This window comes from Homo sapiens, chromosome 3 (genome assembly GCF_000001405.40).
Source record: "Homo sapiens chromosome 3, GRCh38.p14 Primary Assembly".
Taxonomy (NCBI): domain Eukaryota; kingdom Metazoa; phylum Chordata; class Mammalia; order Primates; family Hominidae; genus Homo; species Homo sapiens.
The window spans coordinates 72,725,947-72,748,984 of record NC_000003.12 but is presented as its reverse complement, the minus strand read 5'-3'; the positions used below and the strand labels follow the sequence as shown (position 1 = coordinate 72,748,984).

General features: G+C 47.3%; 1 protein-coding gene and 1 long non-coding RNA gene across 2 annotated transcripts in view, besides 1 other annotated feature; one reads left to right on the top strand and one right to left on the bottom strand.

Annotated features, from left to right (window-relative positions):
- The window catches only part of SHQ1 (SHQ1, H/ACA ribonucleoprotein assembly factor), a 123,174-nt gene that overhangs the window by 99,461 nt on the left and 675 nt on the right, over positions 1 to 23,038 (top strand). Inside the window, exon 11 of the transcript XR_001740192.3 lies at positions 21,142 to 21,294. The gene's annotated coding sequence lies outside the window, so the exon portion shown is untranslated. The remainder of the gene's footprint in view (positions 1 to 21,141; positions 21,295 to 23,038) is intronic.
- LOC124909396 (uncharacterized) lies at positions 8,444 to 10,079 on the bottom strand. The gene is made up of 2 exons (XR_007095963.1): positions 9,951 to 10,079; positions 8,444 to 9,657 (listed from the first exon to the last, which is right to left on the bottom strand). It is a non-coding gene; the product is annotated as an uncharacterized LOC124909396 (long non-coding RNA).
- Positions 9,268 to 9,776: an enhancer, noted in NCBI's record as "H3K4me1 hESC enhancer chr3:72788360-72788868 (GRCh37/hg19 assembly coordinates)". NCBI's record gives its function as "activates a minimal SCP1, AML or CMV promoter by ChIP-STARR-seq in primed H9 embryonic stem cells {active_cell/tissue: H9 hESC(primed)}" and the evidence as "EXISTENCE:reporter gene assay evidence [ECO:0000049][PMID:30033119]".

Sequence of the window (23,038 nt, the reverse complement as noted above, 5' to 3'; positions counted from 1 at the left end):
GTGTGTGTGTGTGCGTGTGCGTGTGTGTTTGAGACAGGGTCTTACGCTGTCTCCCAGAGTGGAGTGCAATGGTGCAATCTCCGCTTGCTGCAGCCTCACCCTCCCAGGTTCAAGCAATCCTCGCACCTCCTCCTGACCACAGGCTTGCTCCACCACACCCAGCTAATCTTTGTAGTTTTTATAGAGATGGGGTTTCGTCATATTGCCCAGGCTGGGATGTGATTTTTTAGAGTTCTTTTGTTTGGTTGGTTTTGTTTTGTGTGTTTTTTTGCCTTGTTTTGTTTTGTTTTGTTTGAGCTGGAATCTCACTTTGTCACCCAGGCTGGCATGCAGTGGCGTGATCTCAGCTCACTGCAACATCTGCCTTCCAGGCTGAAGCGATTCTCATGCCTCAGCCCCCCAAGTACCTGGGACTACAGATGTGTGCCACCGTGCTGGGCTAATTTTTGTATTTTTGGTAGAGACGGGGTTTTGCCATGTTGCCCAGACTGGTCTTGAACTCCTGAGCTCAAGCAATCTGTCCACCTCGGTCTCCCAAAGTGCTGGGATTACAGGCATGAGCGACCACGCCCGGCAGTTTGAGAGTTCTTTATAAATTCTGGATACAAGTCCTCATATGAGTCTTTTTTTTTTTTTTTTTTTTTTTTTTTTTTTTGCATGCCTCATAGTCTTTGATTGGATGCCACACTTTGTGAATTTTACCTTCTTAGGTGCTAGATATGCATTCTTATATATACTCTTGATCTTTGTTTAGGGATGCAGTCCAGTGACATGGAAGTAGTTTGATCCTTATGGGTCTTGCTTTGTAATTTGTTAGGCAGGTCTGGAGTGGTGCTCAGTCTAGGGCAAATTATTCCCCAGTGCTGATATTCCTGAGTGCTCCACCATGCCTTATGAATTATGAGTTTTTCAGCCTGGCTGATTGAACTCACACTGTTCCCAGTGTGCGTACTGAGGACTCTTCTCTCTAATGTGAGTGTGTGTTTTTTTTTTTCCTTGAGACAGTCTTGTTCTGTCACTCAGGCTGGAGTGCAGTGATATGATCTCAGCTCACTGCAACCTCTGTCTCTCGGGTTCAAGTGATTCTCCTGCCTCAGCCTCCCGAACACCTGGGATTACAGGCATGCACCACCACACCTGGCTAATTTTTTGTATTTTTAGTAGAGATGGGTTTTCGCCATGTTGGCCAGGCTGGTCTCGAACTCCTGACCTCAGGTGATCCACCCGCCTTAGACTCCCAAAGTGCTGGGATTACAGGCATGAGCCACCGCACCCAGCCCCCTCTCATCTTTTCAGATGGTTCTAGAAGAGGGCTCTCCTCTCTCTCTCCAGATATCCAGCGTTCTCTGTGCAGCTCTCTCCTCTCTGGAGCTCTGTGCTGCAAATGTTAGCTGCCTTGGTCACCCCAAGTCCTCAGCCCTGTCTTTGAACTCCATAACCCCCTGGGTTCTGCCTTGATTGTCCTTCCCTACATAGCATGGAAAGTCTTTCAAAGCAGTAGATCTCACCTTGTTTTCTGTCTCTCAGGATCACTGTCTTTCATTGCCTGAAGTTCAGAGTTTGGAAAGCCATGGTTTTGTGTATTGCTCCCATTTTTCTGCTTTGGTTATGTCTGACGGGAGAGTAAATCTGGTCCCTGTTAATCCATCGGGATTGGAAGTGTAATTCTCCATTAATAGTTTAAATATGGGTTTTCCCACTTGAGTTTAAGCTGCTGGGGAGGTAGGGTCTTGTTAACACTGAATCATCAGTGTCCGTATTCTCAAGCACTCCATAAATATTTGTTGAATGAATGAACAAATAAGATAAACCAATTTGCTTTGAGGAGGAAATGAAATCTCATCTATTAATCTCAGTAGCATCATTAATTTCAAGAAAGGGTATGATGCTTTTTACTTAGGGTTTGTGAAGGTTGTGAATGTTTGTACTTTTCCAGGTTGTATTAACATGATCCTGGGGTGACTACGGCACTTAAAATGCTTGTGAACTCCTGAACACTATAACTGCTTTGTTGGAATGTGTTCACAAGACTTCTCTCAGCTTCCCTGGAGAGCTTCCAAATCCTTATGACCATTGAAAATGCATTTCTTCTCACTAGTACATTATCTGAAGCCAGTTTGAAAAAGTATTATCTGTAACTCCCCTCATTTACTTCCACTGAAGTCAAGCCAGTTAAGCAAATCCTCTCGTCTAAAAATTTAACGCCATGGAAGTTTTCTTCCTTCCATCAATTTTTGTTCTTAGGAATCTTGACAGGATCTACTTCAGTGAGACTTGTCTTGGGTAGAAAAACCTGTTATTCCCTTCCTCAAAGAATGAGCAAACATGATCCTTCCCGGACATCCTCAAAGCCAGGCAGCTCATTAAACAACCCTCATGAGTATTAAAGACAACGTGAGTGAGCTCCTTAATTTCAGAGTCCGTGTCGGCAGTGTTTCTCCTACCCTTTCTTTGTTCATGGAGGTTGAAGCTTTGTTATATCACGTTACTCTGTCTTTGTTTAAGATGGGCTGAGAACACTATACTACACTAGCTCAGTAACCCAAAACACCTCCAGAGGTGCTGCCTTTCATTTATTTTTTTAAACTAGACAACCTGCCAGGCAACTTTAGGGATCTCCTATAACCATATGGGTTTCCCAAAACTCCTAGATGATGGGAGAAAAAAATAAGTTGGGGCAAGAATAGGGAAGAGACCCAGTGACTGCCTAGTCGCAGCTCAGTGGGAAAAACCAAGACTTTGCAGTTGACAAGAGGCAGCCTCCAATTCAACCCAGCTCCACTGTAGCTGGCTCACGAGGGGGGGACTCCAAACGACACCTTTCCCTTCATCTTAGAAACGGGGCTGGGCGCGATGGCTCATGTCTGTAATCTCAGCACTTTGGGAGGCCGAGGCAGACAGATCACTTGAGGTCAGGAGTTCGAGACCAGCCTGGCCAACATGGTGAAACCCTGTGTCTACTAAAAATACAAACAACTTACCTGGGGGTGGTGGCGGGCCCGTGTAATCCCAGCTACTCGAGGCTGAGGCAGGAGAATCACTTGAACCTGGGAGGCGGAGATTGCAGTGAGCCGAGATTGTGCCACTGCACTCCAGCCTGGGCGACAGAGTGAGGCTCTGTCTCAAAGGAAAAAAAAAAAAAAGGAATAGATGAGATCAGGCGCGTTCAGGGTGGTATGGCCGTAGACAGAAATGGAAATAGAACTGCTTTTATTGCTGGCCTTCCAGTGCTAGGAGACTGTATGTTCAAAGCACTTTTATAAACTGGAAAGTGTTAAACCAACGTAAGGGTTTATTATTATTGTCTGACTTCCCAGAGCTGAACAGGGCTCTATTTAGCTACCTAACAACAGGTCGCTGGGGGAGCCGGCACTGTGAAAATGAGTCAGCCCTGTTAATCTCTACAGAGGCCGGCTAGTGGTAAAAGTCTACACAGTTCAGCAGATTAGATAGAAATATTAATTATGCCAATGAATCACAGCACTGCCTCATCTTCTAGGCTTGCATTATCATTGACCTATTTTTCTATGTTCTGTCTCTCTTGTCCCATTATCCTTGAAGAATAATCGGAGGCCTTGCTGTGGGCATGGCCAGGTTTTAGGTGCCGGTAACTAAGCTGGTATCACCTTTCACTGGCACAAGATTAATCTGCAAATGAGACAAGAGTGCTCCCTACCACATTCTAAATTGGTTGACAGCTGGGGAGCGGTTTTCACACCTGCTAATGAAAAATCCACTTTGGTTACGTGGATCAAATTCTATTATTAATACCAAGAATTGGGAGGAGTAGAGAGAGGGCCATATTTAAGACTTTATAAAATTATTTAAAAAAAAAAACCAGACTCCTGGATATCTACTTTGTTACAAAGGGATTTTTATTACTTTATATGTTATAACTGGAAATTGACTTATATAGTCAATGATGACAAAACAGATATCTCTAAAATAAATGGAAATGAGTTTAAAACTTAGTATAGGAATAAAATTATAAATATACATCAGATCCTAAGAGTGTATTAATTATAAAATCCTTAAAGATGCAGAAACCACCCCCCCCCCCCAATGTATCAAATGACCTGTCATGGAATGTCATTGCATGTCAGGTAAATTCAAATGAAGCTTCATAAACGCAAATCTCTGATTGTTTGGTCAGGGGTCTCCATTAGAGCAAATGAAAGATTGCAAATGTTTCTCTAACATCATTCCATCTAAATCCCTGATGGAATTTTTGTGATCTGCTGCTTTTCTCTCCTGTTTTCTGAGTGTGTTATATATAGTTTCAATCCATACCAAATGAAGGAAGCATTGATTAGACTTGATTTAAGGCAGCAAGTGATAAATGCAGCTGGAAATTGATTCATGTCTCTCAAGTGACTGGGGCACAGCCATCCACAGTTGACACAACTCTTGTCTCAAGGCTGGAGAAAACAAACAGGCAAACACATGTCAAACAGATAAATGACTTTGCTGTTTTGAGCTCTCCGGGGAGGCCATTTGTTTCTTAGATAAGGAAGACTGCTTTCCAAAGTCATGAAAAGATAAGTTAGAGGAAAAGGATGAATGTGGGATTGGATGCCCAAGCACTGGGAAGAAAACAACAGGATTTACCTCTGGGAAGGGTCTTGCTTCTTTTCCCTCCAACATGCTGGGAGCAGTACTCCAAATGCTCTGTCTCCATATTTTAAGTGTTCATAGTGGTATGTTGGTGTCTTTGAAGCTATTTCCCAAGAAACATTTCCTGACTGCTCTTATTGGAGTGAGTATTCAGGAGAAGAATTGGCAAGAACAGCTAAGACTTGTGAGCCCGGCTTGGTCTGAAATAGTGATAGTTCCAGTAGTTTGACCACCAGCCCAGAGGGCCCCTGGAAACAATAGTCCCATTGCAATCCAGTGCCTCTTGTAGAGCCTCGCCCATAATACAAAATATTGCATTTGTGTTTCCCCTACATGCTTTGTGTTTTCCCATCTTGATGTTTGCTCCTGCGTTGCTCTCCCGTTTCCCTTGCTGATAGTTTGCATGTTTAAATCTCACCCATCCTTCAAGGCCCCCATTCAACTGCCACTTCCTCCAGGAGGTCACCCTTCATTGCTCTGGACTAGAAATAAATTCCCTCCTCTGAACTCCCAGAACAATTTGTAATGGTCTTAGAGTATTTATTGCTCCCTGTGGGGTAAATATGCGTGTCCTATCTTATTTACTAGAGCACAGACTTAAGTATCTGTTTCAGCTTTGGATCCCACACAACGTTCTGTCCACACAACACCTTCAGACGACACTTGTTGAATGAAAAACTAGGCAACTGGAGAGCTCAAATGAATAAATGGCATCAAACACTCGACAGCTCTTTACTAGCTAGTAATCCCCACCTAGCATCGGCCGTGTTGCCTTTCTTTGGTTTTCTTTTGTTTCATAAGTCTTGATTCTCTTATCTTTTGAATATGACTTCTGCCAACATTCTAAGCAGGAAGATCAAGTGTGTCTTTCTTCTTCCTCCTTCTTCCGGGTCTGGGGTCCTCATCTCCTGGCCTAATTGGCACATATGTTCAATCTTTTCCTGTTGCTGTCCCTCCTCCCCAACCCTGAATTCCCAGCGTTCTCCACTCACTGCCCCCTAGGCTGGCAGGTGGAAGATTAGTTGGTAGAGAATATGAAAAGTACCCCCTCTGGGCAGTGCCCCTGGACATGGTGGACATTATCCCAGTGAATCAGGGCCAGGTCCTTCTGGAAGAGCCTTAAATCCAAGGCAAGCCAGAATGATCGGAGCAGGAAAGAGATTCTTATCTTCTAAAGCAGTGGGTTCCAGAGTTCTGTATTGATTTCTACAAAATTAAAATTAGAAACAAAACCAAACAGGGTAGCGTGCAGAGGGTGCTGACATAAGGCTGCCGACTTTTCATTCTGGATGTGCATCTCTAACCCAACCCAGGCAGTATTCTACTGAAACAATCCTTTCATAAAAGCCTGTTAATGCCAAAAAGTAGAAGGATAGTATTTAGAATAAAGATTAGCCCTCTAAATTGGACATAATTAGCTTTAAGAAAAACTCTCGGCTGGGTGCAGTGGCTCACGCCTGTAATCCCGGCACTTTGGGAGGCCGAGGCAGGTGGATCGAAGCCGAGGACTGAGCTCAGCAGTTCGAGACCAGCCTGGCCAACATGGCAAAACCCCATCTCTACTAAAAATACAAAAAAATTAGCCGGACATGGTGGTGCATGCCTGTAGTCCCAGCTACTTGGGAGGCTGAGGCAGGAGAATCGCTTGAACGCTTGAAGTTGGGAGGCAGAGGTTGCAGTGAGCCGAGATTATGCCACTGCACTCCAGCCTGGACAACAGAGTGAGACTCCATCTCAAAAAAAAAAAAAAAGAAAAAAAGAAAAAAAAAGAACAACTCTTTCTCCTGAGAAACCACAGATACCTTTTCAGTTTCTCTATTTTTCTTTGTAGAAACATGAGTAAACACATGTAGTTTTTAAACAAAATTTGAATCATATACTACATAAATTTATATCCTTCTTTCTCTTAACATGAGGTCCTGTTTCCCATGTCATCAAATAACCTCCTGAAATATAACACTCATAACTGCATTTATTCCTATTGCACTGGCAGCAATTGCTCTCAAATGTAAATCTGATTAGCGAGGATTTTCCTGTTTTTGTAGTAAATTTGCTAAGCATGGATGCCTAGATCCTCTAGGTGCTTCCTCAGCAGCTCTTCCTCTGTTGTGTTATAGCAGCATAGTTTATTTCGTTTTACGTTATTATTTTTTACGTTTTTTTTTTTTTTTAAGAGATAGGGTCTCACTCTGTTGCCCAGGCTGGAGTGCAGTAATGTGATCAGAACTCAAGGGATCTTCCCACCTCAGTCTCCCGAGTAGCTGGGACTACAGATGCATGCCACCACACCCAGATGCATAGTTTATTTTAAAGACAATACAGTCGTCCCTCGGTATCTGTGGGAGATTGGTTCCAGGACTTCCTCAGATACCAAAATCCAGCGATGTGCAAGTCCCTTATATAAAATGGCATAATAGTTGTGTATAACCTACCTCCATTCTCTTGTATGCTTTAAATCATCTCTAGATTACTTATAATACCTAATACAATGTAAATGCTTTGGAAATTGTTAGTATACTATATTATTTTTAAAATATGCATTTTTTATTGTATTTTATTATTTATCTGAATATTTTCAGTCTGTGGTTGGTTGAAGTCATGGATGTGAAACCCCAGGATACGGAGGGCCAACTGCATCCCCTTGAATTACAGAAGAGACAGGAATGTAATAACATCTGTCATTTGTTGAGCGACTGCATGAAGCCAAGCGCTGTGCTAGGCTTGTTTGTCCTCAGCATGTCAAGCAGGGGCCTATCTCCTCTCACTCCTTCTTTTTTTTTTTATTTGAGACAGAGTCTCACTCTGTTGCCAGGCTAGAATGCAGTGGCACGATCTCAGCTCACTGCAACCTCCGCCTCCTGGGTTCAAGCAATTCTACTGCCTCAGCCTCCTGAGTAGCTGGGATTACAGGCGTCTGCCACCACATCTGGCTAATTTTTGTATTTTTAGTCGAGATGGGGTTTTGCCTTGTTGGCCAGGCTAGTCTCGAACTCCTGACCTCAGGTGATCCACCTGCCTTGGCCTCCCAAGATGCTAGGATTACAGGCATGAGCCACTGTGCCTGGCCTCCTCTCACTCCTTCTGTAGCCACAGATTCTGCCAATGGAAGGGACTTTGGGCATAGTGAGACCCTGTGGCTCTGCTCTTAGCTGACTGGATTGAGCTTGAACTTGACCCAAGGGCCGACTGTGGGGTCAGCTGGCCTGGAAAGCTCTACTAATCCAGGGGTTCTTGACTCTGGCTGCACACTTGAACCATCCAAGAAACTTTTCAAAAGTACCAATACTCAGTCCCCTCCACATACAGTGGAAATAGAATCTCTGAGGTTGTCTAAATAGGCAAGAGCTGGGATAATCCAAGTCCTGCTCCCGGAAATTTGAATTGGGAAATGAAGAGAGGATAAGGCCCTTGGAAGTTATTGAAGGTAAGAGATGCGTTAGGATAATCACAAGGTGAATCTGGAATCAGTCTTGCAAACTCGACTCAGGAAGGAGGAAGTGTGAGTTAGGAGGATCTATGTAATGGAGAAAAGATACAGGCGAGAGGGTGAAGACAGCAGCTGGTCATAGGAAAGGGAGTGGCTGGGCGTAAAAGGATGCAGACACGTGGAGTTGCTGTCATTACTCTGAAATGAACATTCACACACTGCTCCCCTGAGGTCCCAAAAGCAGTCATGGATGCCCATACCACCCTTTCATCAGTCCGAGGCTCCATAACGCCTGAGCATTAGGCCTGTGCTGACTTTTGGAGCTCAGAGGACATCCAGTTCCCTATTGCTGATCAAATCAGAGGCCTTTCTTATACGTAACAGGACACCTGACACAACTGCTTCAAACAGTAAAGAGGATTTATTAGTTTATGAACTGTAAAGTCCAGCAGTAGAATGGATTTCAGGAGAGGCTTAACCAGCCATCCAACAATGTGATCAAAGGCCCTATCTCCTGTTTCTCTGTACCACCATCTTCAGTGCTGAATTCATCCCAATTTGGACACCTTTCATGTCTCAAGATGGCTGCCAGCAGCCCCTGCAGCTACCTACTTTCTTGTTACCATCTGTCAGAAAAGAGATTATCTGTGTCCCAGCCTCCCCAGCAAATGTCCTCAGATTCACCCTGATTGGATGCGTTTGGGTAAACACTGAATCATTCATCACTGGCCACTGAAATGGGATGGCTGGTTGGCTTTGTCTGAGTCATGTGGCCATTCCTGGAGCTGAAGGCAAGGTCAGGGGGACTTTGGGAGATGGAGGATGGAGCACAAAACCAGTAAGGTTACTGATAAACGTCTACCACCCTTTTCACCAATGCTCCCATGTGCAGGGCTCAGCTCTCTCTTCAGAAGAGGAGTGGTGAAGTGACAGCTTCCAGCGGCCACACCTTCATCTCGAGATCCACCCCAGTGTTTGCGCTAAGGCCACACTCTTCCTGGCCTGTTCCCAGCAGCTGGCTGGTCATAGCAAGGTGCTGGAGCTGGGCCATTCCTGCCCAGTGAGTGACTCCCATCCTCTCCACACCTTCTTAAGCTTACACTGCACTGTGGGGCTCCTTCTCACACTTGTCTGTCTTCCTTTTGGTCTGCCCCCTGCCCCACTCCTGTTTCCTTTTCCCTTTATTCTTCCTTCACAGACATTGCACTTCTAATTCTATCTTGGCTTCTGCTTCCCAGCAAATGAAACTGACACATCCTGGTTTTCTGAGCTACTCTCTGAGTGTGCCTCTGATTTTCAGAGGAGCTCAGCTCAAACCCACTTGCTCCACAAGTGCCTGTGGGGCCGATACTGTCTCCAGTATACAGAAGGGGAAGCCAGGGTTAGAGGTTGAGTAGCTTGCCTGATGTCACCCATGCAACAAGGGGAGCCTTGGCTTCCGAACCCCATCTTTACCTCTCTGCAGCCCGTGCTCTCTACCAGCTGTAGACGCTGTTCCTGGTAGAGCCTGGTGAGGTGGCCTGAGTCTCTCAAGGTCACCCCTGGCTCAATGGAAGAGGAGAGGGTGCATCGCAGCGTGTGTTCCCTCCAGTCGGATTTCCTTGAATCACTCGCACCTGGGGGAAGGAAGATGAGGAGGGGGATTGTCGGTGGATGGGCAGGATCTCTGTACTGGGGGCGGGAGGGGCGTTGCCACGTTGAGCACCGACACTTGAGAAGTGACACGGCTTCGTTTGTACACAAACCATCCTGCATGGTGTTTAAAAACAAAGGGCAAAGTCAGACGTTGCTCGAGGGCCCGGAAAGCCAACTGCGAAGCAGGCGGGCAGCTCCCGGATGGCCCCGCGTTGCCCCTGCTCCCACGCTCCCGGATCAGTGAGAAAGCCTGCGCCCCGCCCTGAGAGCCAACCCGCTAATCCGCGGCATCGTCCACCAATGTGTCTAATGAGGTGGCATAACCACCCAGCTCTCCCCGGAGCCGCGCAGGGCCTCCTGGCTGAACTAGCGGGTGTAGCTCCGTCGGGTCCTCGGGCGTCGCGGGGCGGGGCGGGGTGGGGCCACTGCGCGTGCGCGCGGACCGGGCGGGGCGGGGCCCAGGGCAGGTGCCTGGAGGAGGGTCTCCCAGCGGCAGGGGCAGACGCCAAGCTTGCTGAGGCTGGAGTGTATGCTTAATCACAGTCGACTGAGGGGCTGTTTAAGAATTGTAAGAAGCTGTTCCAGGTGAAGTTCTGAGCAGAGCTACAGAAGGTCGCGGTCTGGAAGCTGCTGGGAGGAGAGGGGCGACATCAGTGGCTTTCGTTGGGGGAAGGCACCCGCAGGATTTCCTGGGATGGGGAAACAATAACCTGGAATACGAGGAGGCTGTCCTAGAAGAGTCAGATTGCCCACTCCCATCCCACCCCCATCCCCAAGCTGATGAAATTGGCGCGAAGCAGATCCCTAAATTCACAAGCTTATCTAATTCCTGCCAATAACACAGTATTTCTGTTTCTGCGGATACCTGGCTCTCGGGGCACATTGAAGCTTCACCTGGAGAGGATGGAACAGAGAAGACGATCAAAAACAGGGCCTTCCTGGAACCAAATGCCAATAACAGCCCTCAGGTGCCTAGCTAGCCCTTTACAGATTGCAAAGGGCTTTCTTCTACCTTGCCTCGTTTTCAGCAGGGGCAGGCAAGTGATCCCATTTTAAAGCGAGGAACCCGAGAGAGCTCAGGCTTTTCCCAGGTTGGGCACAGGGTGCAGTGGGAACTAAGGACTCAGTGAGTAGGGGTCACCCAGGGAGCCATGGAAGATCTCCCAAAGAAAGGATGAACAGGAGTTGGATGAGCAGAGGGACGTTAGGGTGGGGTGTTCATGTCTCAGGTGGAGAGATGTGGTGGGTGAGGGAACAAGATTGCTCAGGGTGGCTGAACACGGGAGGGTTAGCAGAGCTGGGGAATTGGGGGGCAACCCACGGAAAGACACATCCACTTGTGGGCCCAGATCAGCATTGTGTCACATTAAGAAAAAGGGAGAACTCAATTCACTATCCATAGTAATTGAAAAGCAATTGAATATTTATTGTAGCCTCTGGTGCACTTCATTTGTAAGGCACAGCCAATACAGCTGGCCCTCCATATCCATGGGTTCCACGTTCCTGGATTCAGCCAGCTGTGGGTGGAAAACCACTCAGAAAAAATAAAAAGGATAATTCCATACTGAACATTCACAGACTTTTTTTCGTGTCATTATTCCCTAAACAGTACCGTGTAACAACTATTTCCATAGCACTTACATTGTATTAGGTATTATAAGTAATCTAGCGATGACTGGAAGTATATAGGAGGATGCACATAGGTTATATGCAACTTCTATGCCAATTTTTATCAGGGACTTGAGCATTGGCAAATTTTGGTATCCTGGGGGTCCTGGAACCAATCGCTTGCAGATATTGAGGGACAGCTGCATTGTAAAAATCTTCTTTTTCTTTCTTTCATTCTCTTACTCTCTTATCCTAGCCACTGCCCCCAAAGATGCATCTTTCCCCTTCCAAATTTCCCCAGTTCTCCTTCAGACTCTGCCTTCAGAGGGTTCCTGCCTCTCCTCTCCTTCTCCCCTTCCGTGGCTGTGGTTTTAACCCTACAGTACCTTTTTAATTAATTAATTATTATTTTTTCTTTTTTGGGAGACAGAATCTTGCTTTGTCGCCCAGGCTGGAGTACAGTGGCACGATCTCAGCTCACTGCAACCTCTACCTCCTGGGTTCAAGCAATTCTCATGCCTCAGTCTCCTGAGTAGCTAGGACTACAGATGCACCCCAGCACACCCGGCTAATATTTTTATTTTTTTATTTTTAGTAGAGATGGGGTTTCATTATGTTAGGCCAGCTGGTCTCGAACTCCTGAGCTTAGGCAATCCACCCACCTCAGCCTCCCAAAGTGCTAGGATTACAGGCATGAGCCACCACCCCCGGCCTAACCCTACAGTACCCTTAGATTTCCTTCCCAGTATAAACTCTGCTTTCCCTGTGGCTTTTTGCACTTCGGAAAGTGGAAAGAGATTAGTGCAGGAGTCAGCAAACCAGGGCACTGAGGCCATATCCATCCCACTGCCTGTTTTTGTATAGCCTGCAAACTGAGGATCTTTTAATTTCTTTTTTTTTTTTTTTTTGAAACGGAGTCTCACTCTGTCACCCAGGCTGGAGTGCAGTGGCACAATCTCGGCTCACTACAACTTCTGCCTCCTGGGTTCAAGCAATTCTCTTGCCTCAGCCTCCCAAGTAGCTGGGATTACAGGTGCCTGCCACCATTCCTGCCTAGTTTTCTTGTAATTTTAGTATAGATGGGGTTTCACCATGTTGGCCAGGCTGGTTTCAAACTCCTGACCTCAAGTGATCCATCTGTCTCGGCCTCCCAAAGTGCTAGGATTACAGGCATGTGCCACCGTGCCCAGCCCAAACTGAGGATTTTTTTAAAAAAATTTTTAATGATTGAAAAGAATTTATGGAGATGTCTTTTCTCTTTTGTTATGTAGGTACTTACCTAATAGCCTTGATTCTGCCCCTTGGTCCATAAAACTTAGAATATTGTACCATCTGGACCTTTACAGAAAAAGGTTGCCAATCCCTGGTTTAAGAGAAGGGGTTTGTGAATACCTATCCAGTAGCATTTTGGATGCCTGGCCCATGGCTTCTGGGGTTTCCATGCCCTCCTGGGGGAGGCTGTGCAGAAAGCTGGGACAAGAGGAATGAGGCTGATACTACCCCGAATCCCACCACAGGGGTGGTCCCATGGCTCAGGTCTGGCCAATCAGAGTACCCTGTTCTTCTGGCCACAGTGATTGGTTCAGCAATAAGCAGGTGTCTCAAGCCTAGTCAATCAAAGTCCTCTTGGGGCTTTGGCCAGAGCTACTAGAAATGATACTTTTTCTGAGTTGGTAAGCTGGAAGGAAGCCATTATTCAGAGGATGATTATCTTTGTATCTATGTGAGGAAAACCTTTCTGGAAAAGAAATTGCATATACCAGAAAGCAGACATGGAAGGAAGAAGGGAGGAAGAGAGAGAGAGAGAGAGATTGACACATTTGACATTGTTTGAGACTCAGCACCCAGCCACCCCTAAAGCTCCTTCCACCCTGGACCTTCAGTCATGCAAGCCAGTAAAATGCCTGCCTGCCTGCCTGCCTGCCTGCCTGCCTGCCTGCCTGCCTGCCTTCCTTCCTTCCTTCCTTCCTTCCTTCCTTCCTTCCTTCCTCTCTCTCTCTCTTTAGCTGAATTGGGCAGAGTTCAGTTACTTGTATCCAAACACATTCTGAGCAATATATGGGCTTTACCAGGTACTTTGGAACCTTGGATTTCTCCCCTTGGTACCCACAACCCCTGCCATGTAACTTTCAGTGCCCTCTCACTCTGACTCTGGACTCCAAGTGACTTGCTTTGGCCAATAGCATGTTTGCAAACATTATGTAGACACAGTGGGACTTGTATTGTCTTTAGTAGCCCTTGGAGCTCCTCCAAGCCCATATAACAGTCCCAGTCTGGGCCACTACATGATGATAGACATATAGAGCCAAGATGAGCCTTCCCATCCTCTTGACCAACAAGCCTCGAGCTAGGATGGCTGGAAGCCAACTGTAGGCACATGAATGATCACAGCAGAGGCCAGCGGAAGAACCGCCCCCACTGAGCCCAGCCCACAGAATTATGAGATAAACAAATGGTAGGTGTTTTAAAGCACTAAGTTTTGGGGTGATATGTTAGGCAGCAAAAGCTGATCCATAGGCAAAAGGTGAAAAAAGGATTATGAAAGGCTCTAAAGGAGAGCAGCTTATCACTTGCTGGCACTTTTAGTGTATAAGAAAAACAAAGCACCGTAGTATTGAAATATTGCCCAAGCTTAAAACAACCACAGTTCTAGAACACCAACACTTAAACAAGCAGTCTGGAACACATACTGAATTCCTTGGCAGGAACCCCACTGAGAAATCCACGCCTGGCACTCCCATTCCACAGCCATACTGGGCAGCTCCTACTGCAGGGATCATGGCCGGCACAAATGTTGTCTCTAGGATGAGGGGATCAGGTACATCTGTGAAAATGTAGAATTCCTCTTACTTGTGTCGTAAAGGCATGACAGTAAGAGTTAAAATGCAATAGTGCGACGATCCCTGGTGGTCTACTGGTTAGGATTCAGTGCTCTCAAAATGCAATAGCATATTGAGCACCTACTGTATTCATAATGTTCACAGCAACCATGTTTTTCTTCTATAGGTCTGACTTAGTACACTTTCATTCTCATTTATTAGGGGTGAATTGCTAGATGCAATGTACCATTTTCTCTTTATGTGAGGTTGTTCATGTCAAATACTAAAGGTATGACTACTACTACTATTAATGATGGCTTACTGTAGGCCGGGCTCAGTGGCTCACGCCTGCAATCCCAGCACTTTGGGAGGCTGAGGTGGGCGGATCACTTCAGGTCAGGAAATAGAGACCAGCCTGGCCAACATGATGAAACCCTGTCTCTACTAAAAATACAAAAATTAGCTGGGCATGGTGGCATGCTCCTGTAATCCCAGCTGCTTGGGAGGCTGAAGCAGGAGAATCACCGAACCTGGGAGACAGAGGTTGTAGTGAGTCGAGATCACATCACTGCACTCCAGCCTGGGCAACAGAGCGAGACTCCATCTCAATATAAATAAATAAATAAATAAAATAAAAATGATGGCTTGCATTTGTGAACACACACTTAGCACCAGGCTCTGGACAAGGGGCTTTACAGGCCTGATATCTTTTTTTGTTTTTTGAGACAGAGTCTCGCTGTGTCACCCAGGCTGGAGTGCAGTGGCAAGATCTCGGCTCACTGCAACCTCTGTTCCTGGGCTCAAATCATCCTCCCACCTCAGCCTTCTGAGTAGCTAGGACTACAGGCACACACTGTGCCTAATTTTTGTATTTTTGGTAGAGATTGGGTTTTGCCATGTTGCCTAGGCTGGTTGAACTCCTGGGCTCAAGTGATCAGCCCATTCAGGCCTGATATCTAGTCCTGACTACAACCCAGGAAGATGGGTACTATCAATCCCATTTTGCAGATGAGAAAACTGAGTCCCTTGCCTAAGTGCACCACGTCATTAAGTGTTGGCATTGGCAACTAAACTTACATTTTATTTTAAAGGGAGACTATTACTGTGGCCTACAGAAATGGGGAGGCTTCATGAAGGACACACTTCGCCTGCTTTGAAGGCAGGTTGGGATTTACCGCCTACCAGCTCTGTGACCTTGGGTGTCTTATTAAATGTTCCCGGGCTTCAATTTATATGTCTGTGAAATGTGGGTGATAATCCTTTCTTTCAAGGATTCTCAAGGGGGAGGGAATAAAGTGAGACACCTAAAGCTCTCAGCACAGTGCTAGGCTTGGGGCTGGAGCTCGAGCCCTTATACTTTTTCTTCCTCCAGGGGAGACTAGACCATACTGGTTTCTAGTGACTCTATCTGATAGAATGTAAACCTCATGAGAATTTGGTTTTTTTTCATTATTTTGTTTAGGTTGTATCCCCTGCACCAGAGTGGTGCCTAGCACATCATAGAGACTCAATCCATGCTTTTTGAATTGAGTTCTGTATTTCTGTGACTGTGATTCTGTGAGATGGGACTGGCAGTGGTTTCCTAGGTGCTGGTTGGAATGGGAGGTGGAAGGGATCCAGGAACAAAGCTTTGTGAGAAGGAAGGGAGAGATGTCCCAGTCAACAGTGCCCTGGGAGCTGGGCTGCATGGCTTGCCATGTTGATAATGTCTCATCCATTGCTGCCCAGCCTGGGAGGGCAGCTCAGGGGTTGCTAGAGATGCCCGTTGAGTGTACTGGGAGCACAGTCTGTGCACTGGGCTCCACCCCACCTCTCTCCTCCTCCTCCTTTCAAGCTCTCCTGGCCTCTGCTCAGCACCCCCACCCATCTGCACCGTGGCCAGGCTTAGAAAGAATCCTTCCTTGGTGCCAAGTATCAGCAGGGCTTTCTGAGGGTGTGAATTATTCCCCGACAAACCCAGCACCCATCTGTCCCCTTTAAAACACCTACCATTTGTTTATCTCATAATTCTGTGGGCTGGGCTCAGTGGGGGCGGTTCTTCCGCTGGCCTCTGCTGTGATCATTCATGTGCCTACAGTTGGCTTCCAGCCATCCTAGCTCGAGGCTTGTTGGTCAAGAGGATGGGAAGGCTCATCTTGGCTCTATATGTCTATCATCATGTAGTGGCCCAGACTGGGACTGTTATATGGGCTTGGAGGAGCTCCAAGAGCTACTAAAGACAATACAAGTCCCACTGTGTCTACATAATGTTTGCAAACATGCTATTGGCCAAAGCAAGTCACTTGGAGTCCAGAGTCAGAGTGAGAGGGCACTGAAAGTTACATGGCAGGGGTTGTGGGTACCAAGGGGAGAAATCCAAGGTTCCAAAGTACCTGGTAAAGCCCATATATTGCTCAGAATGTGTTTGGATACAAGTAACTGAACTCTGCCCAATTCAGCTAAAGAGAGAGAGAGAGGAAGGAAGGAAGGAAGGAAGGAAGGAAGGAAGGAAGGCAGGCAGGCAGGCAGGCAGGCAGGCAGGCAGGCAGGCAGGCATTTTACTGGCTTGCATGACTGAAGGTCCAGGGTGGAAGGAGCTTTAGGGGTGGCTGGGTGCTGAGTCTCAAACAATGCCGGCACTGCTGGCATCTCCCTAGGCCTGGAAGCTGCCCAGGGCACCTCCAAGCCAGGCCTGCACGGGGCTTCCTCCCAGTGAAGACATGGCTGCCCTGAGCCTTAATTGGAGAGATGATGCAGTGAGCCCGGGAGATTTTAAAGTGTGTATTTACAATCTGCTTGCTCCTTGAAGTGGCATGAAAACAAAAATCCAAGGAAAGCGCTCAGTGAGGGGATTTCCCTGGTGACCTGTGGCTAATGGCCTTTGCCTACCTCTTGCTCTGGAGAGGCCCTCCGAAGCCTGAATGGGGGTGGGAAGTGGCTTCCAGGGAAGAAGGGCCTTTCTGAGGTGGCTGTGCTCACAGGACGCAGCCTTTGAGAATCAGGATCAGAAGATGTAAGTAGCCCCCATAACTGGCACATTGGTAGTGGATGCTCTGGGAGGATGATGCTTTCCCTGTGGCTTTTTGCACTTTGGAAAGTGGAAAGAGATTAGTGCAGGAGTCAGCAAACCAGGGCACTGAGGCCATATCCATCCCACTGCCTGTTTTTGTATAGCCTGCAAACTGAGGATCTTTTAATTTCTTTTTTTTTTTTTTGAAACGGAGTCTCACTCTGTCACCCAGGCTGGAGTGCAGTGGCACAATCTCGGCTCACTACAACCTCTGCCTCCTGGGTTCAAGCAATTCTCTTGCCTCAGCCTCCCAAGTAGCTGGGATTACAGGTGCCTGCCACCATTCCTGCCTAGTTTTCTTGTAATTTTAGTATAGATGGGGTTTCACCATGTTGGCCAGGCTGGTTTCAAACTCCTGACCTCAAGTGATCCATCTGTCTCGGCCTCCCAAAGTGCTAGGATTACAGGCATGTGCCACCGCGCCCAGCCCAAACTGAGGATTTTTTAAAAAAACTTTTTAATGATTGAAAAGAATTTATGGAAATGTCTTTTCTCTTTTGTTATGTAGGTACTTACCTAATAGCCTTGATTCTGCCCCTTGGTCCATAAAACTTAGAATATTGTACCATCTGGACCTTTACAGAAAAAGGTTGCCAATCCCTGGTTTAAGAGAAGGGGTTTGTGAATACCTATCCAGTAGCATTTTGGATGCCTGGCCCATGGCTTCTGGGGTTTCCATGCCCTCCTGGGGGAGGCTGTGCAGAAAGCTGGGACAAGAGGAATGAGGCTGATACTACCCCGAATCCCACCACAGGGGTGGTCCCATGGCTCAGGTCTGGCCAATCAGAGTACCCTGTTCTTCTGGCCACAGTGATTGGTTCAGCAATAAGCAGGTGTCTCAAGCCTAGTCAATCAAAGTCCTCTTGGGGCTTTGGCCAGAGCTACTAGAAATGATACTTTTTCTGAGTTGGTAAGCTGGAAGGAAGCCATTTTTCAGAGGATGATTATCTTTGTATCTATGTGAGGAAAACCTTTCTGGAAAAGAAATTGCATATACCAGAAAGCAGACATGGAAGGAAGAAGGGAGGAAGAGAGAGAGAGAGAGAGAGATTGACACATTTGACATTGACAAGAGGCTGGATGAAGGTGTGTGTACTGCTGGTCATGAAGTGTCTTAATTCTAAGAGATGAAAGGGCCATTTTCGTCCACTGAAATAATAGGCATTATTTGTATGTATCTGTAGTGGCCAGTGACTGACTTCCCAGGAGAAATCGGCATCTCCAGGAGAGAAAAGTAGGGACTTCCTAGTAAAGAGTTCCCCAAGAACCAATAACAGTCACATGGCCCTACAGCAGAGGCATTTTAAGATGTCCGTTGGCTCTGGTTCCTTTTAGAAGCCTCTCCCACATTATATATCAAGTATCCAGTGTACCTATATCATATGTTTGTTAATGTAAATACATTTTAAAGAATTTTTAAACCTGGCACAGTGGCTTATGCCTGTAATCTCAGCACTTTGGGAGGCTGAGGCAGGGGATCACTTGAGGCCAGGAATTCAAGATCAGCCTGCACAACATAGTGATACCCCATCTCTACACAAAATAAAAAATTATCCAGGTGTGGTGACACATGTCTGTAGTCCCAGCTACTCGGGAGGCTGAGGTGGGAGGATCACTTGAACCCAGGAGTTCAGGGCTACAGTGAGTTATGATTGCATCACTGTGCCCCAGCCTGGGCAACAGTGAGACCCTGTCTCTAAAAAAATAAAATTTAGGGCCGGGCACGGTGGCTCACGCCTGTAATTCCAGCACTTTGGGAAGCCGAGGCAGGCGGATCACGAGGTCAGGAGATCGAGACCATCCTGGCTAACACGGTGAAACCCCGTCTCTACTAAAAATACAAAAAATTAGCCTGGTGAGGTGGCGGGCGCCTGTAGTCCCAGCTACTCGGGAGGCCGAGGCAGGAGAATGGCGTGAACCCCGGGGGGCAGAGCCTGCAGTGAGACGAGATCGCGCCACTGCACTCCAGCCTGGGCGACAGTGAGACTCCGTCTCAAAAATAAATAAATAAAATAAAATAAAATTTAATTTGAAAATTAAAAATAAAAAAATAATTTGTGGAATTTTGCTTTTGAACTTACTTGGCTATGAGTAGTAATTCCTTCACTGTATAATGCTATTGGCTGTGCTTTCTCATGCAAACTCAGGAGTTATTACAAAGTGAGGGAACCAACCCATAAATTGTGTTTAGATGTAATAAGATTTTAATGAAAACAAACTTAATGAACAAAGTGGACCTAGTGTTTTTTAGACATTTAATTAAGCATTTCTTCATTTCAATTTTGCATCTTTTTCTTTATTTCGAGCCAATGCCTTTTATTTTTTTCCTGGTCCTCAATGTGTTTGCAAGACCTGGAATTTGTGGCTATAGGCGTGTGTTTCCTGGTGGGTAATGCAGCCTTATCTGGACTGGTCGATCAGGAGGCTGGAGGCAGCACGAGCAGCGGCCCCAGGCTCCAAGAATCTTCATTCTCACAGGTCACATTGGCGATTTCTCTAGGGTGGAATAATCAGCTCAGCAGGGTCTGTGCTTAAGTTCGGAGGCCTGTGACTCACGTTGAAATCAGCACCTCCAGGTGAGGAAAGCCTGGGGTGGCTCAAAACCCAATAGGAGCCACTAACGAATCCAGGGGCAACCGTGACTATTTATGCTCCTGGCACACAAGTCACAAGATAAAAGCTCGGGGCCTCCCCTGGCATTGGAATCTCTCAGAGGTTTATTTGTTCATTCACGCATCAGTTTACTCAGCAAAGAGGAATCACGGAGTTGTTTTTCGTGCCCAACCTGGAGTGGAGGGAGGGGAAGAACAGATGGGACGTGAGGTTTGTCACCGTCACCTGGTCGGCTGGCTTCCTTGCACATTAACATTTTATATCTGGGCTCTCAGTAGCAGCGAGAATCCAACAACAGCATGGCACTGACCTGGTTCTGAGCGTCAAGGAGCCTCAGAGGCTTCTGCTTCTGGGTCCCACTTGGGCGTGGCCCTGTAGTGAACCCCTCAGGCCATTTGGGGGAAGAATGAGGAGGGACTTACACTGAAAGGGCACCTTCTGATCTCCAGGCACTGCATCTATGCTGTTGATTTGCTTCCTAACTTGTGCCTCAAGCAATTGCATCCCTTTTCCAGGTGAGGCAATGGAAGCTCCAGACAGGTGAAATACTTTACCCCAAGTCACACGGCAAGGAAGTGGTAGAGGCAGATTTGACTTCAGAGCAGCCGCACCCCAAACTCTGCACTGTTGGCTTCCATGCTCTTCTCCCTCCCTGAATTTTCAGGAGGGTTCAGAGTCTGTTGGTGGAATTTCTGGTATGCCTCAGATGTAGACTTGTTGCTCCTTTCAGATTAACTGTTTCTGTCCAAAGCCAAGAAGACAGAAGTGGTGGATGTGTCTATAGCTGCCTCGGGCCTCTAGTGCAGGGCAAAGATGCCCCTCAGAGGAGTCAGGTGAGGCTGAAATCGAGCCCACATGTCACCTACCTGTTGGTACGTGGTGTGGGAATTCGTCAGACTGACAGGAAAGGGTTGCTTGCCAGGCTCTGCACCCCTGAAGCCCCATCAACCCAGAGGGGTTCCTCTTAATAAATTGCACAAAAGCACCGCCTTGCTTTGGGTTTTCCTGGAAGCAGACTCCGAGGCAGATATTGCAGTGCAAATCCTTTTGTTTGGGAGGTGACTCCAGGAAGTACTGGTAAGAGAGTAGGGAAGTAAGACAGGGAGGGGAAGCAAAGCATTCACCGTGTGTTGCCATCGTGGACAACTAGACCACAGTCCCACTGGAGAGCCCTGGGGAACAGTAGGGAACATGCCCCTAAATTATCCCAGTGCCCCATCTTTGGTGATGGCTGCTTCCAGGGACTCCACGGCTTGCTCTTCACGCAGGCTGAGTGCACTCTCATGGCCAGAGTAATGCCCTCCTGAAGGATCAGGGTTGTGCCTGATGAACTGCTTGGGTGGCATGTGTGTGCTGATGAGCCGTGTTGGTTGCAGGTGTGAGCGGAGGTGATCTGGTCAGAATGGCAACAGCACCCATCCCACTACCCACAAGGTGAGCCTGACACCGTTACCAAGACTTCTGTCCTTCTGGATTCAACAGGCTCAAGAGATTGTCTGTGCCTCTTCTCCACTGTTTCATTAGCTGAGGTATGAATTTAGGCATCCACCTGTACCGTTGCCCTCCCAAAGGCTGACTTGCGATTGAAAACAAAACAAAACGCTTCTGAAAACAAAACAAAAACGCATTCTGCTCAAACACCATCCCAGGAAACCTCAGGACTTTATAATCAAGTCTGGGATCTGTTCCTAGCTCTGATGTGTGGCCATTTCCTTTGGCTTCTCTTCACTTTCTGCCTCTTTCTCTTCCTCCCCTTTGTCTTTAGAAGCCAATAAGGAAATCCACGTGTCCTGGCTTCTTGCCTTCCTGTTTTTATCCTGTAGACCTCCGGAGGGTTGTTTGGCAAGAGCAGGAGTGGCTGCCTTGGAACTGCACGAGGTTGGGTGGTGAGGCTTGGGAGGGGGCAGCCGCATGGGGTGGGGCTGCTTTGAAGCCATGTTTGTGTATGGTTTACTGATTGGGGGTGACGGGTGGAAACTACGGGGAGCCTCAAACCCCCCTTGGCATTGTCCCCAACAAAGCTGAATTCTTGCTATTGCTGAATCCCCAAGCCCCAGAACTCACAGCCCCGCCTCCATGGCCCTTCGTGGACCCCCTGGTTCCATGGTTTTGCTTGTTCTGGGGCTACATAGCAGACTTCAGTAAGAACTGGAGCAGGAGTTTGGCAGAGATGTCAAGAGTTGACTGAAATCAGAAACCTCCAGCACTAAATTGTGACTGTTTTAGTCTCTGTTCCTCTGACTAGACTGCTGCTGCTCCTTGGAGGCTTTCTGATGTGCCTTTCCAGTTACCCTTTACGATTTTTGCCTATAACACAAATAGCTCCGAAGGAGGCGCAGAACCCTGTTGCTTCATTTGGCACCAATGATCTAATGAGGTGGAAATCCCAGGGATGCTCTCAGGGGGCCGACGCAGTAATTGATATCAATTGGTGTGATTAGAGAAAGCCCTCAATCATCCCGAGGTGTCTCACTGCAATCTGTCATGGTCCTCATCAGATGAGCTTCGCCCTGAGCTTGTGCTGGAATGAGCACCGCTTTCCTGTATTCAGCCCAAAAGCCCAAATGTGGCCCGGCGTGGTGGCTCACACCTGTAATCCCAGCACTTTGGGAGGCAGAGGTGGGCAGATCACCTGAGGTCAGGAGTTCGAGACCAGCCTGGCCAACATGGCAAAACCCCGTTGCTACTAAAAATACAAAAATTAGCTGACGTGGTGGCATGCACCTGTAATCTCAGCTACTCCAGAGGCTGAGGCAGGAGAATTGCTTGAGCCTGGGAGGCAGAGGTTGCAGTGAGCCAAGATCACGCCATTGCTGATCTCAACCTGGGCGACAGAGCTGGTCTCTGTCTCCAAAAAAAAAAGAAAGGGCCTAACGTAAGCATGAGAGATACATATCTTACTGCCCTGCCCAAGAAGTGAGGACGTGCTTTTCCCACTTGCCTGGGAGGCGGCCTGGCTGAGAGGTCACAGGCCCAGGCTTAAAATCTGACTCCCTGGGCGGGAGTCTTTGCTATGCCTTTATAGGCTGGTGGCCTTGGAACAGTGACTTCACTCCTGGTGCCTCAGTTTCTTTATCTGTAACATATGGTGATAATAGTACTACATTTCTTTTTGGTAGAGACTGGATCTTAATGTTTTTCTCAGGCTGGTCTCAAACTCTGGGGCTCAAGCAATCCTCCTGCCTTGGCCTCCTGAGTAGCTGGGACTATAGCTGCATCACCCCACCCAGCTATCATATTACGTTATTAGCCCTCACACGATTGTTGGGAGGG